At 45.9% G+C, this 18,452-nt stretch overlaps 1 protein-coding gene across 10 annotated transcripts in view, besides 5 other annotated features; it reads right to left on the bottom strand.

The window, feature by feature from the left end:
• The window catches only part of MCPH1 (microcephalin 1), a 241,882-nt gene that overhangs the window by 47,532 nt on the left and 175,898 nt on the right, over nt 1-18,452 (bottom strand). The window lies entirely within an intron of this gene.
• Nucleotides 1,191-2,390: an enhancer, noted in NCBI's record as "P300/CBP strongly-dependent group 1 enhancer chr8:6456108-6457307 (GRCh37/hg19 assembly coordinates)". NCBI's record gives its function as "activates an origin of replication core promoter dependent on BRD2, BRD4, P300/CBP, MED14 and CDK7 cofactors, with strong dependence on P300/CBP, by STARR-seq in HCT116 cells {active_cell/tissue: HCT116}" and the evidence as "EXISTENCE:reporter gene assay evidence [ECO:0000049][PMID:35650434]".
• Nucleotides 6,136-7,051: an enhancer, noted in NCBI's record as "OCT4-NANOG-H3K27ac-H3K4me1 hESC enhancer chr8:6451447-6452362 (GRCh37/hg19 assembly coordinates)". NCBI's record gives its function as "activates a minimal SCP1, AML or CMV promoter by ChIP-STARR-seq in naive and primed H9 embryonic stem cells {active_cell/tissue: H9 hESC(naive and primed)}" and the evidence as "EXISTENCE:reporter gene assay evidence [ECO:0000049][PMID:30033119]".
• Nucleotides 7,052-7,968: an enhancer, noted in NCBI's record as "OCT4-NANOG-H3K27ac-H3K4me1 hESC enhancer chr8:6450530-6451446 (GRCh37/hg19 assembly coordinates)". NCBI's record gives its function as "activates a minimal SCP1, AML or CMV promoter by ChIP-STARR-seq in naive and primed H9 embryonic stem cells {active_cell/tissue: H9 hESC(naive and primed)}" and the evidence as "EXISTENCE:reporter gene assay evidence [ECO:0000049][PMID:30033119]".
• Nucleotides 11,784-12,283: an enhancer, noted in NCBI's record as "H3K27ac hESC enhancer chr8:6446215-6446714 (GRCh37/hg19 assembly coordinates)". NCBI's record gives its function as "activates a minimal SCP1, AML or CMV promoter by ChIP-STARR-seq in primed H9 embryonic stem cells {active_cell/tissue: H9 hESC(primed)}" and the evidence as "EXISTENCE:reporter gene assay evidence [ECO:0000049][PMID:30033119]".
• Nucleotides 13,762-13,931: an enhancer, noted in NCBI's record as "experimental_103492 CRE fragment used in MPRA reporter constructs". NCBI's record gives its function as "activates a minimal promoter by MPRAs in K562 erythroleukemia cells, with activity observed for the non-introgressed 8:6444652 variant allele {active_cell/tissue: K562}" and the evidence as "EXISTENCE:reporter gene assay evidence [ECO:0000049][PMID:34662402]".

Raw genomic sequence — 18,452 nt, 5'->3', positions numbered from 1 at the left:
TGTCATCTGCCTCTGCACTGCTGTGTTTAGCGATTCTGAACGGTGCATGGAAGTGTGTTAAGTACCATGCTCCCGTCTCCTGGGTGAGATGTCTGTCCAGTAGTTCTAGGCAATGTCTCCTCAATGCACTCACCCTTGATGGGAGCCCATAGCTGTAAAGGAACTGAAGGCCTCCAACCTGCCCCCAACGATGGCCTGTGTGCCTCCTGCGTTGCTCAGCTATTGAAACATTGCCACAACCCTCACAGAGGTCCAATCCTTTCGTTTCATAGTAGAATCGTTTTGTTCAGTGTTATTTAGTCAATAAACTAAAAACTTAAGAAATCTTTCAATACAAAGCTGTAAGGTTTTTCTCTTGTCACATGTATTGTAAAGTCCCTGCCCCACCTAGGAAGATGTGATGTCACAAGCCTAACGTGCCTCAGTCAGAGGTATGCTAGAGACACTCAGACTCTGCTGTAAGCTGGAGATGTGCCGCCAAGGGTGGCCAGTGCCGCCCCAATCCCCAGTGGTGGCAATGGTAAATGTATCTGAAGGAGCAGGCTCTTAAATGTCAAAGATGGACACTGTCACTCCCACAGGAATACCAGTTACACCTCCACCTGTGCGCTGAGGGCTACAGGTGGCCAGGCCAGCACCCACGGCCAGCTAGAGAAGGTCTGGCATCCCTGCTGGGGACCCTCTCTCCCTTGCACTCCCCTGGGGGTCCCTGACTAAGCACTATTAGAAGTAGCACACTAGTGAGTCTTAAAAATACCGCACTCTTGCCAGGATGAGTAGGTTTTGCAGATTTGACAGCAATGTCCTGGCCTAATCCTTTGGAAAAGGACAAGAAATTCCAACCTGAAGATTTCTGTGTCTCCAGCAACTCAGCTCCAGATATTTCTGTAACTTTTATTTAGCATGAAGCGAACTATTAACCAGCTCCTGTGGGGAAAAGGTTACTTTATTGACCGCTTCCTAGCAAATAGAACATAGAGAAAGAAAACCACAGTACTTTTCCTCTTTGTTAATCTCTAATACAATTCCCCAGAGTAATGGTTACTTTTGAATTAGTAATTGCATTGAAGCAAGTTATTGTTTTTCTTTGGTTTCCCTCATCTTGTACATAATTACAAAAATTGGTATATGGGAGCAAGGAGAGAATTCCCGCTTGCTTTATTTAATCTTGATAGCTGATTTTTAAAAATACACATAATCTCTAATTGAATCTCTCTGTAACTTCCTACCCTCACTACTTTCAAAAAAACAAAATGAAGATAAAAAGTAAATCAAGGGGAAAACTACCAGGAGACTATTTCCAACAACAGATGACTCAACAAGCACCTGAGAATTTGTTGTACTTGTGTGTACTAAGCTTCTGAACTTCCTGTTTCAATAAAATGCCAAACAAGTTGTGTTTCCTTTACAAATAAGCTATTACATCAAGCCCTGTTCCTATAATTTCAGGTTTTTGTCTCCATTCCAACATTTTCTTTGGCAAATGTAGAAACATTCTAATTAAAGTGGAGAGGAAAACAAGCATCATTCATCACGGTGAGAATAATGGACAAAGAACATCCTCGGTTTTTTCATTCTTTCACTAAGCCGCGCTCTGCTTTAAACAGTTGGGGCCTGGCGTCATGCAGTCCCTGACTAACTCCGAGGTAATGGCTTCAAGTAAGCCTGAGTCACTTGGAAAAAAAAATTCCAAAGGTATCGATAATTCCTGTCACAAGCTTCACATTCCTTTAAAAATATCCTTCCGGTCCGCGGAGGAAGGCATTCCTTTTAGGTAATCACGTAACAACATCAAGGCTTCTTTTTAAGATACTGAGATTAGGAAGAGGACTTCCTACTCATGACCGTGGAAGCCTGAGTTGGAGGGAACATTCCCACTTCCCAGGCGCGCCTCGGATTTTCACTTTTATCAGGACTTTTAAGAGCCCCGTATTCGCGCTAGGAAGTAGCATCTCAATAGGTTTCACGCTTTTTAAAATACATGCCTTAAGGAATCAGAACTAATTAGGGTCTTTTCACCACCCAGCTCAGCGGGGCTGCATGTGCGTGTGTGCACACATGTGTTTTCACGCTGAGCTGAGATGAGAGCAATGCATTTTGGAAAGTTACATTCTGCAATGCATCGGGCGGGAAGCCGCAGCTCCAGCCTGGCCACCCTCGGCAGCCATCCGCTCTCTGAAGTGTTAGGGCGCCTTTCGGGTGGCAGGGGGCTCTTCTTAGTCCCACCACGCAGGGGGGAGCCGCACTGCGCTTCCTCACCCACACAGGGCCATGGCCTTCTCACGCCTGTCGTGAAGCCGCCCGCCGGCTCACACGAGAGGTTTTGCTTCAGCAAACATTGGGGTCGCTTGGGGGAAATGGTGTTTACCTTTTGGAAAGCCTTGGGTGTTCGGGAAGAAAGCCTGCTTTGCCCCGAGGAGAGCTGTTCTGGTGTGTGCCTCTCCCAGCCCACTCCTTCCTCTGCGGAGCTGGTGGGCCGGGTGGAGCCTGGACAACGACATTCCTCACGACCGCCCCCCACCCCATCCCCTTCTTCTCCCCTCATGTCTGAGGCTCAGAGCTGCACTCTGGCCGGTCGCCGGCTCTGTCTTTGGGTTCGGGGCTTCTGCTTTGCCTCCTACTTTCCAATCCCTCCCCTCCCTGCATGAGTTCTGTTCCTGACTGTGAGACTCTGAAAAGCTTGGCATGTGCTGCATCCTAAACTTGCTCTACAGACCCTCTTCCCCACCCTGGCTCCCCAAGGCTGGTGTGGGAACCCACGTATTTCCCAGGTACACGGAGTCTCTGGTGCTCACTCTGATTGACCGCCTTTGCCTCCCAGAAGCATCCCCTTTCCTCCTTCCTGCCTCAGAGCTAATTTCTGTGTCCAGGAGCATCCTCACCCTGTTGAGCGGAGGCACAAGTATAACTAAATACGTGAAGGCCCGCTGAGCTGATGTTGGCTGGAAAAGGACATCGTCATCTGGAAATGTGGCTGTTTATTCAGCAGACATGAGTGGCACGTCCTCAGTGCAAGGCTCTAGGTCAAGTGCTGGGGGCAGAAAGACCAACAAGCAGGGTTCTGCCCTTCCCTTTGGAGAGCTCACGTTTCTTCTAAGGAGATGGGTAAGTGAAGGGCAGGCCCACCTAGGATGTGCTTATGAGGGAGAGGACCAAGGTGATGTGGGTCACGGAAGGACAGTAGACCATATTCAGAAAGGAGTGGGTTCAGGAGGGGCGCAGTGAGGTGTGAGGATGAGAAAAGCAGGACTCTGTTGAAGGAAATGTTCCCAGAGACGAAGAAATTAGCAAAGAGAGGGAAACTCCTCTTCATTCCCTCTCCCTTCCTAGCGCTGAGCCCTCCCTCCGTGTTCCGGGTTGTCGTGTCCACAGCAGCACCAGCCCCCAGAGAAAACCCAGCAGAACTCTTGGCCGAGCTGGTGAATGTTCTGGGCTGGGAGAGGGCTCCGGGTTCCTGGGGCTGTTTGTTGTCTTTTATTTTTGCACAGTCTTCGGTATTTCCAATGGCACTTGGCACAAGTACATAAAATTCATCTTACAAGACATATTTGCCACTTGTAGCCAAAATCTGGAGTCTACCTTCTAGTCCTGGCTTTAAGGAATCTCTTCCTAGAAGTCTAATGTCTTCCTGAAGCCGAAAAAATAAGACAATGGTGGGAAACGCTGGGGCTTGCCTGTGTCCTGCTTTCACCATTGGCTCCGGGTCGACAGTGATGATGGTAAAGACGGCGTCCATGGTGCCTTGTGAGCAGCCAGACCCCACACAGGACTGAGGCTCATCCATTTGCTCCTCTAATTCTCACTGCAGGCTTATAGGCAGGTGATTTTATTACCTTCATTGAGGCTTAGATAAGGTACAAGAAGTGCTGAGATCACACACCAGGCAGAGGGCTGTGAGTCCAGCCTGCTTGGATGCTAAGCCCATCTCCTGCCCACCTGGCCCCATTGCATCCTTCCTACCCTCTAAATGTGGTCTACGGGATGGTTTTAGATTCTCCGCTGATTTAATTTACATGAAGAAGCAACTGGTTGCTAACTCTGACCGTATCCTCTATACAAGAGTTTTCTCATTCATTCTTACTGTGTGTCCTTCTGTATTTTCTCAGCTGGTTCTTAGCTATTTCATGGTCAATAATGATTATTCTCCGCTGCATGTGTCTTAGCATTTTAGGAGGCTATCAATTTCAGCAGAAAAGAGATTTATTCTCGCGTTGATCTGGCTGGGGTTTTCAGTTCTACCGTTTTTTGGCATCGTTGCATTGTGGGATCTGTGCTGGTCTCCGGCAATACAAAGCCCAATGCCGTAATACTGTCTCCTGGGCCCCTGTTAGCCCAGGGGTTCCTCTGTGCACCCCTCATCATGCCCTCATACTCACGAGCTCCTGCACCTCCACGCTGGCTCCAGAGTCTGGCTTCCTTACTGCCCAGCCCATTGTGCTGGGTCATCTCCTACGGCTCTGGCGGCCAGGTCCCCTTGGCTGCCATGTGTACAGGCTTATAAGATACCTACGTTAGACACAATGGAGCCAACTATCCTGACAGATGGGGCTACTTCCCTTAGCAGAAAAATTCCTTTCATCTCTTTACTGTGTATAACCTGCCATGATGCAGGCAGGGGGCTGTGCCATAGACCCACTCATGCAGCTGCAGCAGAGTCTAAGAAGAACGCCAGAGCTCACTGCACCCCTCCCCTACCTTCCAGGGGAGCAAACGCAAACCCAAAGGGATGAAGTGACTTGGTCCAAGGCACAGTGCCAGTTCGTGGCAGAGCTGAGACTGGAGCCCAATAAAATGATCAACATATCTTTCATGTCCATGGAAGATGTGTCACACGTGGCTTACGGTGTTCAGCATGCTTGGCAAGCATAAAAGGGCCACTCCACGGGTGTGCTCTAAATGCTCCTGCAAACTGTGCTGAAGGACACAGAAACATACTTTTTTGTAAAAATAAATAAATGAATAAAAAGAAAGAGACTGTCTCATGTGACCCATATTATTCATTTCTTAAATTCTTCATCTGACGCTCACAGGCTCCTTTTTGGGGATTAATCGTCTTCCCTTTTTGTAAACTGAAAACAAATGGTTGCACCCTAACTTTTCTGATGCTTCGTCATCTGTAAAGGGCCGTTGCCTGCCCAATTGTATCTGACTCTATTACCATCTATTACTGTCTGCATCAACTCTTGCCCCTGATGCTCTTCCCTGTGCAGCAGCCGGAATGATGCTCTGAAGACCTTGTTGGACAGTGCACTCTTCACTCAAACCTGCAGCAGATGGAATGATGCTCTGAAGACCTTGTTGGACAGTGCACTCTTCACTCAAACCTGCAGCAGCTGGAACGATGCTCTGAAGACCGTGTTGGACCATGCACTCTTCACTCAAACCTGCAGGGCTCCCGCATCTCTTCTGGAGCAGAAGCCCACCTGCCAGTTCATCCCGACTGTGCTGCTGCCTCCTCTTCCCCACTGGCTCAGCCGTCCATCAGGCCTTGTGCATGCAGCTGGCCAGCTCCCTCTCCAGGGAACACTTTTCCCCTGCATCTACTTGGCCAACTTCCTGATCTCTTTTAACTCATTCACCTTCTCAATGGGACAGTTTAGCGCTGTGGACTCGAGTCCACACTCCTGACCCATCTCCCATGTTTCTATCCCTTGTTTGCTCCTACAGTACATACCCTATTTGCTTATTCCATTCACTCATTCCTGTGTGTCTCCTCTGCTGGAATGAAGTCTCCATGTGGACAGGGATCCTTGCCTCTCTCACTCCCTGACATATCCCAAGTATGCAGGCAGTGCCTCGCAGCTGAGTGGGTGCTCAGTGAATGCTTTTGAATCAATCAATCATCTCTGTTTTACTGATAGGGGAGCGAGGTTCCCAAAGACAAAGTGATTTGTGCGAAGTCAGTAAGTTAGTTAGCAACAGACTCAACCTCAAGTTGCCTGTCTTTGACAACTATATAGTCTTAAGATTTACAAGAGGTTCTTGGTTAATACATAAGTCAAAAGTAGATTAGAAAAACTTCGATTTTAAAGAACAGTTTAAAACCATTATGGAGCCCCTGAAGAGAAGGAGCTAAAGTAATGTCTCTTCTATCCCTTTAAACTAGGTCCTCCCCAGCCTGGTGTGCTCTGACCCCGAGGGCAGGTCTTTCCACATGCTGTAATTTAGATTCTGACATATGTATGCCTCCCCTTCCCTCTCTGTAGCATCGCAGAAATGAGAGATGGCAAGTGACAGGCCAATCCTCCCTTCCCCTGCAGTCCCCTGCAGTCCCCTGCAGTCCCCTGCAGTCCCCTGCAGGAGAACACTGAAGTCTTCGTAGCGTCAGTACTTTCTTCTCCAGAAAAAAGGCCAGTTGGCAATACTCCAAACAATCTGGCCTGATGCGAGCAGGCTCTGTGCCCAGGACGCCCTCAGCAACATGGACACATGAGATCTAAATTCCTTCACTGTTTCAGAATTCACTGGATATGATCAAGGACTGCTATTTCTTGGTAATGCCCTAGGAGCTTCTATGAGGGCCCACGAATGAGTGTTTTGGAAAGATTAGCATGCTCCAAGGGAGTGGAAGCCCTCTGTGTCCTACCCTGGGCTGCACTGCAGTGAAAACTCCAGTAAAATTCCACAGCTGTGACTCCCAGGGTCCAGAGGTGCCCTGGGTAAACCACTCATTCCACTCTCACCCGGCTCATGGCGCTCTGCTGAACATTCCTAACACAAAGAACCCTTTAATAGAAACGCTGTCCAGGACCAGCATAAGGAATGCTCCTGTTTGGGTATGACCTGGGCACACGGGGAGCGGGGGCTCCTGGGAGGCCAGGCTAGGCCCTGCAGCCACACCCCTGCTCAACTCAGCAAACCTCTGCTCAAACACAGCAGCCTTGCCTGGACAGCCAGCTGTCAAAACACCAATGACAACAAAAAAACATGCACCCAGGAAAACCCAGGAAGGTTATACGAGGTTATAGGAGAGAAGAGACAATAGGGAAGGCACCTGGAGCTCACCACCAGCCTTCTATCCATGCTTCTGTCTACCTGACAGAGTGCCAGCGGGGGTCCTTCTGATGGGAGGGACGGCCACTTTTGCATAAGAAGGAAGCAATGAACAGAGGTCTATTGTTGTGGAATGATCTCAATCTTTGCAAAAGAAAGTATCTTGCAAGGAAGAGGCTGTCTTTTCTTGAGAAGTCCTATGCGACAATTTTATAACATGACCTCATTAAAAATACATTGGTAATGTTCTCTTCAAAGCTCTATTTATAAGGGTGCCTAAGACCGCAACCAGAGCAAAGACAAAATCCAGCCATAAAAACATGGTGTCTGGGTCAGCTGTAGGGGTTCACACCTATAATCCCAACACTTTGGGAGGCCGAGGTGGGTGGATCACCTGAGGTCAGGAGTCTGGGACTAGCCTGGACAACATAATTAAATGCTATCTTTATTAAAAATACAAAATTAGCCAGGCGTGGTGGCGTGTGCCTATATTTCCAGCTACTTGGAAGGCTGAGGCAGGAGAATCACTTGAACCTGGGAGGCAGAGGTTGCAGGGAGCCAAGATCGCGCCATTGCACTGCAGCCTTAATCATAAATTATAAGTTGAGTTTGGTGGCTTATGCCTATATTCCCAGCAGGTTGGGAGGCCGAGGTGGGCGGATCATCTGAGGTCAGGAGTTTGAGACCAGCCTGACTAACATGGAGAAATCCCATCTCTATTAAAAAGACAAAATTAGCCGGGCATGGTAGCACATGCCTGTAATCCCAGCTACTTGGAAGGCTGAGGCACGAGAATCACTTGAACCCGGGAGGTAGAGGTTGCAGTGAGCCAAGATTGTGCCATTGCACTGCAGCCTGGGCAACAAGAGCGAAACTCTGTCTAAAAAAAAAAAAAAAAAAAACCACACCCTAAAAAACATAGTGTCCAAACTGCGGCCTTGAAGCAGCAATTTGACTGAGGCAGGAATAAAGCTCTGTGTTTATTTGGGGTGTAGGGGGAAGAGAAAAACAAGAGCCGGCCTGGCACGGTGGCTCACGCCTGTAATCCCAGCACTTTGGGAGGACAAGGCAGGCAAATCACTTGAGCTCAGGAGTTTGAGACCAGCCTGAGCAACATGGCAAGACCTCGTCTTCACCAAAAATACAAAAAAAAAAAAAAAAAATTGCCAGGTGTGGTGGCACGTGCTTGTGGTCCCTGCTACCCAGGAGGCTGAGGTTGGAGGATCACTTCAGCCTGGGAGGCAGAGGTTGCAGTGAGCCCACAGAGCGCCACTGCACTTCAGCCTGGGTGACAGAGTGAGACCCCTTCTCAATTAAAACAAACAAACAACAACAGCAACAAAAAAAAAAAAAAAAAAAACAAAAAAAAGAAAGAAAAACGAGAGCCTAGATGACTTTAAAAATCATCGTTAAATTCAGGACAGCAGTTACTTTTAGAGAGAGAGGAAGAATGGAATTGGAGAGGGAAAGATGCAAAGGGAGCTTTAACTTTATAATATTCTGTGAAATATATAATAGTTACAAGATTTAATTTATGAAAAACACAAAAAATGGAAACAACTATAATAAAATATTAAAATTGGCCAAGGTGGGAGGATTGCTTGAGTCCAGGAGTTTGAGACCTCCCTGAGCAACATGGCAAAACCCTGTCTCTACCAAAAATAATTAGCCGGGTGTGGTGGCACGCACGTGTAGTCCCAGCTACTTGGGAGGCTGAGGTGGGAGGATCACTTGAGCCCGAGAGGTTGAGCTGCAGTGAGCCAGGATCACCCCATTGCACTCCAGTTTGGGTGACAGAACAAGGTCCTGTCTCAAATAATAATAATAATAATAACCATAATGATAACTAAGATTGAGCAATGCTGAGTGATGGGTACACGGTGTTACACTATATTGTATTGTTCTCTATTTGCTTTCATGAATATAGGTATAAGGAAAAAAGAGATTAGTGATGATACTCTAACAGAGCTTCACATGGTTTCCCACTCTCACTTTGCGTTGTCGAATTTTTTCCCTACTTCTGTTCCATAGGTTTCCCCCAGCATTGTATTCTGAAAAATTTTAAACATACAGTAAGGAATTTTACAGTGAACACGATATACCTACTACATATAGATAGACTCACTTTCAACTCCTTTTTTTGTATTTCAACAAATATAGAGTATGCCAAGGGTCAAAATGAGGAATTCTAGGGGGTTAGACGAAGTTGTCCCTGGTGGAATTTGAACGCCCTTCTATCCAAATGCAGTGCAGGAGCTGAGTGTCTTGGGGCTACCTTCCCACTTTACCAATAACACTGAAGCAGGAGGAAAGGAAATTATTTGTTTCTCTAAGGGCCACGTGTCCTGGAATACGGTACCTCACCCAACCCACAAAGCACACCAGAAAGAAACCGCAAAGATATTTCTAAAGTGCTCTTAGGATACTCTTGCATTTCAGGACATTCAGGTATTTTAAAACCTAGAGGACAGGAGAGAAAGATGCCTATGTTCCACTGACCATTCATTCCACACATGGGGTGATTTCCATGGGAACATTTCCATGGCTTCACGGGCCAGCAGTGAGAAATCACGTTACCAGGGCTTATCACTCAACATTCGATTGTCTACAAATGCCATATGAGATCAAGACCTTAATAAACACTAGCCCTAGAGTTCAACTAGGATGTAGCCAAAACCACAATAAGTAGAGTGACTATAAAAAGTAGGCATGTAGCCAATGACAGTGATTTTAACTACTCATCGTACTGAGCAAGGTGTCAAAATGCGATAGGAAGACCAAGGCCTTGGCCGGTCGTGGTGGCTCACGCCTGTAATCCCAGCACGTTGGGAGGCCAAGGCGGGCTGATCACCTGAGGTCAGGAGTTTGAGAACAGCCTGACCAACATGGAGAAACCCGTCTCTACTAAAAATACACAATTAACCGGGTGTGGTGGCACATGCTTGCAATCCCAGCTACTCGGGAGGCTGAGGCAGAATTACTTGAGCCCAGGAAGCGGAGGTTGCAGTGAGCCGAGATTGCGCCATTGGACTCCAGCCTGGGCAACAAGAGCAAAATTCCATCTCAGGAAAACAAACAAACAAAAACAAAAACAAACAAACAACAAAAGAAGACCAGGGCCTTGAGGTCCAAAGGCCCGAGTCTGAAGCCAGTCTCCACTGGCCTGTGAGGAGGTCAAGTGACCTGAGGCAGCCTCGATTTTCTCATCTTTGAAGCAGAGATCACCATCATACCTACCCTAGGGTTACTGCAAGAATCAAATGAGTTAGCAGATGGCAATAAACTGCTTTTCCAGGCTTATTTCCAAAAACTTATTATTATTTTTTCCTTTATGTTTTTCTTAAGCTATTGCTTGTGACAATGTCTCATTGCAGATTTGTATCCAGCAAGCCCTATAACAAAAATTGGTTTTTAGAACCAGATTCCAGATTAGGCCTCTGGTCAACCAGAACCCAGATAGCAGCAGATTCTGTCTAGTGGCCGAGGGGCATCTGACATGAGTTTGAGAAACTGCCAACCTCCTCAGCTTCCCACCCAGGGCCTGCAGGGCCTGCTTTGCTTTTTGTTCATGGTGTAGTTTTTGGTTACAATGGCTTATGAGACATTCCAGAAAACATAAACCAAATGTTTCCATTCACTTCATGCATGAGGTGATGATGGGCCAACGCACATTTAGGACATTCCCTCCACTCCATCCTCACTGACATCCTGGCTTTATTGCTCATTTTTATTTCTATGTGTAATGATTACATAGTTGGATCTGTATTTTTTTTTTTTTGTTGTTCACTTAACATTATAACACTCTTCCATGCTCTTGAAAACGCTCTGCAAAAATACTTTTTTCAGCTTGGTGTGCTTTACCTAATCATTCTTCCGGCACCAAATGTTCCTCACTCCCCCACTTTTTGCTATTATAAAGAACGTGCTAATGTGCAAAGTTTCAAAATGAAGGTACCATTTGAAATGCAACACAGCAAGATCGTTTCGGGGACAGTGCCATGTCTTTTTAATGCATGTCTTTTAGATACTTTAGAGTAAAACTAGTCTTTTATGAATCGAGACTTCTCTATTGAATTATTTTCATTTCCATAATAAGAGTTCTGCAGAATTATCTGATATATTCTGCTGTATCTTCGCATCTCATCAATTTTATGACAATTCAGGTATACAAGCATTCCCATGACTATATAATGGTTTGGAAATCAACAGGTCTTTGGCAATTTACACATAATGTATTTGGTTGCAGCACGTGTCATGGAAACACTTGAGATCACTAAGAAAAAGCAGAAAACTTTTGGCTGACCAGCTATTTATAGTTCTCATCTCAGAGCACAGTTAGACATTCTATCGAGATGGAAGATGAAAATGCCTGGCACACAGTAGGCAGTCACTGAAGCTTAGCACCCTTCCCTTCCCCACTGCCTTGTCTTCCTGAAAACAAACTTTGTTGTTCAGGATTTCATCATTTCCAGATGCCGGTGCTCCAAGTGACATGCAGAGCAATGCACGCTGATGTCAGAAAGCCTGGAATTTCTGGTGGGAAATCGGCCGTCGATGAACTCATTGGATACAAAGATCCTGTTTTCATGTCAATATCCTCAGTAATAAAAGATGAAGGAAGACAGGAAGTATAGCATATAAATATTCTCCACTCACTATCATTGTCCCAATTTTTACTGGAAACAATTCCCATAAATTAAGGTATCAGTCATTTTTGAAGAAGGAAAAAATAAAAGAAAACTTAATAAGTGAAAAAGCCATTGATTAAGGTGAGCTCTGTAAAATGCCTTCACTTCTATGTCACTACATTTCCTGACCATCTATCACCACAGAAAAAAACTGTCTTCCCCGAGCCCACAGGAGGATGTTCCAGAAAAACTCTTGTTGTCAATTCATCATCCAGGTGTTTTAATAATTTTGTACTTTTGTTTTCATACAGTGATTGTTTAAGAAAAATCTACTTGTAAAAGCAAAAGAATCCCTTCAGTGACTGCCTTTCCATTCGCTCTGTGCTGCAATTTCTGCCTTGCCACCTTGATCCTTTGTCCTGGTGGCCTATAAGTAGCAGGTAGACTATAAAGGATGGAAAGCCCCCTTTCGAGTCTTTTCTGTGAGAACTGGGCCTCCAGCCTGCCTGTCGTGGTGCTGGCAGACACTGCAGTGACCTGGCCCAAGGGCAGCTGGTGAGACCTGGGCAGAGAGGAGAGAGGAGCAGAAGGCTTGGGTGAGAAGCCATGGGAAGAACTATGGAGAGGCTAATAATTTTGTAACATTCAAAACTGAGGTTGACTATTGACTTTGTACCTGCAGGACAGGGGAGAGCAGCGGGTGAAGCCCGGAGATGTGGCCGCCAGAGACACGGTTTAACAGTTCAATGCGTTCACATGGACTCAGGCAGTTCAGTGCTGGTTCAACCAGACTTACGCCACTCCAGGAGCCCGGCTGGACACAGCCTCCCTGGGAGATGTCTGATCCTCTCTTGCCATCCTAGCATGTCCCCAGGGAGGTGAAGGGGCTCAGCCTACCCCAAAGACCTTGGCAAATATTCCTCGCAATCATAAAGTACATTTTCTGAGGGACATTCTCCTAAGCACAATTTTCTTTTTGTTGCAGTCCCATTTTACACTTAAAAAAAAAAAAAAGTTTTAAGTGAATGTATAGTTCTTGCTCTGATAACGGTGACTTGCTTTATCAAGGGATCACTGCTGGGCTGGCCTGGCTCTGGAAAAAGAATGCCCCACTGAGAGCAGCTGCTGCTATTCCCTTCCTGGACTAGGAGAAGGTGGAGGGGACAGGAGGCACAGTGGTCCCATCTGGCCCCAGTGTCAGCCTGCCTCAAGACTAGCCCTGTGGACACTGTCAGCCACCCCACAACCATCATCAACTCCACACCCTCAGTCTCCCCATATACGCTCACTTGGCAAAGTGGAAACCCTTTCACTTCTACCTCCCCAAGATGGGAAGCTGACTTCAGACAGCTTAAGACAAATGGTTGAGAGATGCGTCAGGTTGAGGGGAGCCTGAGCTCTAAGGACTCTGCATTGGAATCTGCTGTCCCCAGCACGTAAGTGAGAGGAAACTTGCTCAGATAGCTCAGACAAATAAACTGCATCACCAATAGAGTCAGGAGGGGAAGTATCTCCTCCATGTGCTTTTGGGCATTGCTAATTTACCATCCTTTAACTTAGTCCATGTCTGTGCTCTCTGGACAGGGTCTCCACATGGACTTTCTTGCTTTCTTATCTACCCAAGCTCCCTTGCAAGTAATACTGCATTCTTATAAAGAAGCATGAGGCTGCAACCTTATCATCAGGAACTTTTTGAGACCACAATAAGCCATCCAGGCCCCAAGACTGCTATTCTTCTGAAAAATTACCAAGTGATTTATAGCTACATACAAATCCATGCCAAAAATCATAGTCAGATTCATAACAGTGAAAACTGGAAAGAATTCAATGTCCAGCAATCACCAGACGAGAAACAGTGTTCTATATCTTCAGTGTAGGGGTGATCGCAAAACTGTATACAATTGCCAAAAGCCATCCAACCACACATTGAAAGTGTTGAATTCTATTGTATGGAAATTATACCCCATAAAGCTGGGGGAACAAGAACCATGAGCTGAAATAAGACAAAACAAAACAGATTCTAAGCCAGGAGTAGATCTTGGGATAGAAATGTCTGAGGACACCCAGTTGGAATTCAACATGGCCAAGTGAGAAGTCGATTCAGAGAGAGGGCTCTGTATTTGCCAGACTTCAGTGAGTCATTTTTCCTTTCAAATTATTATTATTTTTTATAAAAGCGGCATCAGACACCCTTCTGGTCTATATAATTCAGACCACCAGAGACGTGCACGCATACTCAGGCCAAGTCAATACAGATCATCGACAGCAAAAATAAATGGCAATTTCCAACACCGAGAAGTGGAAGCAGAGGTCCCTAGCGCTGAGCCGAATGAAAAGCGCTGGGTGGTAAGCCGAGGAAACTGCGGCCTGCAGGCTGCCTGCAACGGGGCTCGGCTCCCACAGCCTGCACTCTGTTAGCAGAGCTGTTTCCATCAGAAAGGAAGCAGCACAGGGAATTCTAAGTCAGGATGTCTACATTACGGGTGGTTTAAACTAAAGCCAGCGACAGGATTCAGGTGGTAAGTGTCCTAATCTCTCATCCCTTCAACCTGTCCTGAACAGAACTACCAGCTTAATCTCACCAAAACTTGCCCACAGACTTTCAAGGGCTCCCGCGGCCCATAGAAATGAATGGCTTGAAGCTCAGCGTTCAGTCTTCCTTTTTCAGCTTTGTCCCTTGATACTCACTGCAGTGCTCATGGTTTCTCCTGGCCGTCTCTCACTGTTTGCCTTTATTTCAGGCTCTCTTTGCAGAATTCCCCCCAGACATGCAGTTCTAAGCCCTATGACCGGCACAGAGTGGGTAGATGCTCAATAACTGCTGAAAGAAGGGCGGTCTCCTCCACATAAAGACACGCACTGCATGGAGGCTGTACAGAGGCTGCATCAGCAAGCACCTTTGACCACAGAGGCTAGTCACAGGGAAGCGTGGAGGCTGGAGGACAGAGCGCGGACCCTGGGGACCAGCCTTAAAGGTGGGGCAGGTAAGAGGGTGTATATTTTGTCTATGCAAGACTAGCTTCCCTGAGTGGTCTGAGAAACTTAGTTGGTCCCATCTGTATTATTGCCCAGCTGCCGGTTTTAAAGGAAGGATGAGCTGGGCATGGTGGCTCACACCTGTAATCCCAGGACTCCGGGAGGCTGAGGCAGGAGGATCACTTGAGCCCAGTGGTTCAAGACCAGCCTGGGCAACATAGAGAGACTCTGTCTCTACAAAAAAAAATCAGAAAGCGTGGGCATGGTGGCACATGCTTGCAGTCCTAGCTACTCAGGAGGTTGAAGTACAAGGATCACTTGAACCCAGGAGGTCAAGGCTGCAGTGAGCCATGTTCACATCATTGCACTCCAGCCTGGGTGACAGAGTGAGACCCTAGCTCAAAAACTCAATAAAAGAAGGATGGCTTCACTTGCTTTCAGAAAAACTTCTGTAGTTACAGCTGTGAGTGAACTTGGGTTAACACAAGGAGGTGCAATAGAAAAATGCACACTGTGACTGTTGGCCAGCTTCCGTGCAATAGAAACCAAGCTGCTGTGTTTAAAACTGCCCTGCAGTCATGGGATGGTGGGTCATGAAGGAAGTACAGGCCAAGTTGCTCAGCCACCAGACTTTATAAAGAGGAGGAAAGACCAGTTACATGTAATTTCTCTCTCTTCCTATGGGCCATATGGAAGGAAGGATATTTAATTGAGTATGGGAATCCAGCCAAAATGACTAAGGTGAAAGTGATGCCTGATGTCACAAATAAATTTCAGTAGAGGGAAAAACAAATACAGTATTCTCTCCCTTTTGACATTTAGAGAGGTAAACCTTGGGAGGAGGGCTGGAGAAGCCTGCCAGAGCAGCCCAACTGCATGTTTTCGAGGCGGCCGACAATGGCTCCAGCTGCAATGGTGCACCCGGGAAAAGCCGGCGTTCCCGGGAAGGGGCTCCCAGACAGCTGTGAGGGCACCAGGCCACGCTTCCAGCTGTGGTGGCCACACACAGCTTCTCCCTCCCTGCAGTATCCACCCAAAGTGTCTCATTCAAACAGGAAACTCCTGGGACAACTGCTGTGGTGGGCACGGATCCTGCTTCACGTGTAATATGCTTGTGGTGTCTTTTATGGCTGTGCACTAGTGAGACCCCAGCTCCTCTCCCCGTGGAGTACCCACTGGGAGAACTTTCTTTGTATTGCTGATAAATCCTTCATTAGCCACGGAAAAGTCCGGAAAACAGAGACACTGTCTTAGTCTGAAAATATTAGAAAAATACAGTTTTGCTCCCAATACTCCAGCCGAACTGCTAGAGAATAGTTTATACTTAGAAAATACAACTCACTGTGCCCTCGCACTGGGATGGGGATCAGAGGGGATATCTACTGCTTCATGAGCCTTGCTAATCAAAATTGCCAATTCGACTCAACAGGAGGATGCCTATATTTTATTTGGGGTTTGAGACTCTTGAATATTTCTGAGATTATCTCTGTTTTGCTATTTGTTAATCAAATATGGGGTAACTGTGCAACTAGGGGACACAGTTTGACCAAACCTGTTTGGCAAAAGAACTACGTTTGCAAGCAAGGACTTCCCCAAATAGCTAAACCTTGTCAGATGATGACTGCATTTGGAAAAGCAAGGAGGACAGGCCCATTTTATTGTAGAGTCACTATGAAAAGTCACTACAAACTGCTTTGTATATTGTCAAATTTTGGAAAAGATTAAGTGACGTGTAGCGAACACTGAGAAATACTTCTTAAGATAGATAAGCCTTTTTAACTTTTTTCCTCCCCCGGTTATAATGATCTAAAAGAGTTAGGTCTGGAATGAATTGTGTTCTGGTACCAAGTTTATTATAGATGTGAAGTGTCTCAGTATATGCAGCTAAAAGAATTGGGATAAGCAGAGATTAAAATAACAAAAAAATTGGCCAGTAAGAGTTCTTTTCACAATAATCTCCATCTGCTGTGTCTCCTTTTAAATCAGTTGGTATATGTTTTGGGGGCGACTACTGTTTGCATTAACTTTCAGCTTTTTATGGTTCACTAAACCCTAGACTGTGATATGAATGTAAACATTTCATGAAGAGGAGGAATTCACATCCCAGACGGGTAGCTGCACCAGATGAACTTACGGTTTCCTTCCTCCCTGAGCTGCTAAATCTGTAGTGTTATTTTTAAAGTGTGTATTGATTTTGAAATCAATATGTGACTTTTGATTACAAATTCACCATAGGAATCTGAGGGTTTCTATTACAGATTAGCAAGTTTCTGGGAAGTGACTGTGGCAGGAATGTTGGAAGATGATGAAGGTGATCAAAGAGAGTGCTGTAGATGGCAAATGTTGCCAGAAAACCCATGCGTGCGTCAGACTGGTGGGAGTTTCGAAGCACAATCACATTTGTATGATGAATCTTGAACTACCCACCACAACAAAGTCCACCCACTTGAAAGTAGTAAAAATGCAAAATTTAGAACAGAAGGTAGGTACAAAATGCCAAAGATATGTCTTAAAAAAAAAAACAAAACAAGAAATGAACACCAATAACCTAGGAAAAAAAAAAAAAGACTCCGAGACCATGAGGCTCTATTCAGTTGTCTCTTCTGCATCCAGTTAGCTGAGGCGTCTTTGCCACAGAATAACCTGCCTCGGATAACTTGGAGAACTATTTATAAGACGTGGGGATGAGCTCATTTCCAATCACCAAGGCCTCATTTGCAATCACCTTGCCCTCACTACTCCAGGCCAGCTCCTCCCTTGGGCACTCAGGGGTCCTTTTCCAACAACTCTGTCCTTCATTCAGGTGTCCTGTGTTCACCACCCTCGCTTCCTTTTGTCCACTTTGTTTTATTGTATTCTTGATGTCCTATGCACACACACTTGATCTCTTCCCTGTGCTGACATAACATGCACATCCCAGATGGCAAGAATTTTGTCGGTTTTATTCTGCATTACACAGCCAGTGCCTTGCAGCGCAAGAAAAGTCTTCAGTAAATATTTGTGTGTGTTTTTGTTTGTGTATTATTTATAACATCTGAGGAGTCTTTCCTAGGACACTCTGCCAGCTATTATTTGTGTCAATCCTGCACGTTCTGCACATGTATCTCGTTTGTTTAGAAGAAATAAAAAAAAATCAAGCATAAAGCAAACTGAAATGTGTGCTGCTTCAAAGTATTAAATAAAGCAGAGAAAAAAAAATCACTCTGAAAAAAAAACAAAGAAAATTCTCAGGCCTCTAATATTCAGCGAGGCACTGTGCTGGTTAGGATAGAGATTGCCAAGATGAAAAGCAGCATTTTTACCCCAGGAGTTTTGGTTGACTATAGAACAGGACCACATGTAACTCGATTTCAATGTGATGAATACCTCACCGCCGACTATGTGCAGAGTAAGTACGTGCAGAACTTCAGAAGACAGTGAGGATTCCCCAGTCATCGTGGCCCAGAGAAGACTTCATGGAAAAGAAAAGTAGGACCTTAAAGGATGGGAAAGGCTTTGAAAAGCTGCGACACTTGTGGGGCTGAAAGACTTTATGAAGAAAGGCTAGCAGGAGCAAAAGCCACAGAGCTCAGAGGCACCACACTGTCTTAGAAATGTAGAGTTTCCAAGCGAAACAGTAGAGAAATAAAAGGCTGGAAAGAGCCATACTGTGAAAAGGCTTGAATGACGAAGGATTCCAGACAGTGGTTTCCTTGGACGGGGAAGGCAGGGTAATGGGATATGTGGAACTCGGAGGTGGAGGTGGGCACCAGCGCTCTCATGGTGAGAGGTAAGTGGTGAGTTCACAGTGTTTATCTTACTATTAAATACAAACAAACAAAAAATAGCATTAAAAAATAAAATAAAGGAGTAAGG

This window comes from Homo sapiens, chromosome 8, assembly GCF_000001405.40.
Source record: "Homo sapiens chromosome 8, GRCh38.p14 Primary Assembly".
Taxonomy (NCBI): Eukaryota; Metazoa; Chordata; class Mammalia; order Primates; family Hominidae; genus Homo; species Homo sapiens.
This window is presented reverse-complemented; position numbering and strand designations above follow the sequence as displayed.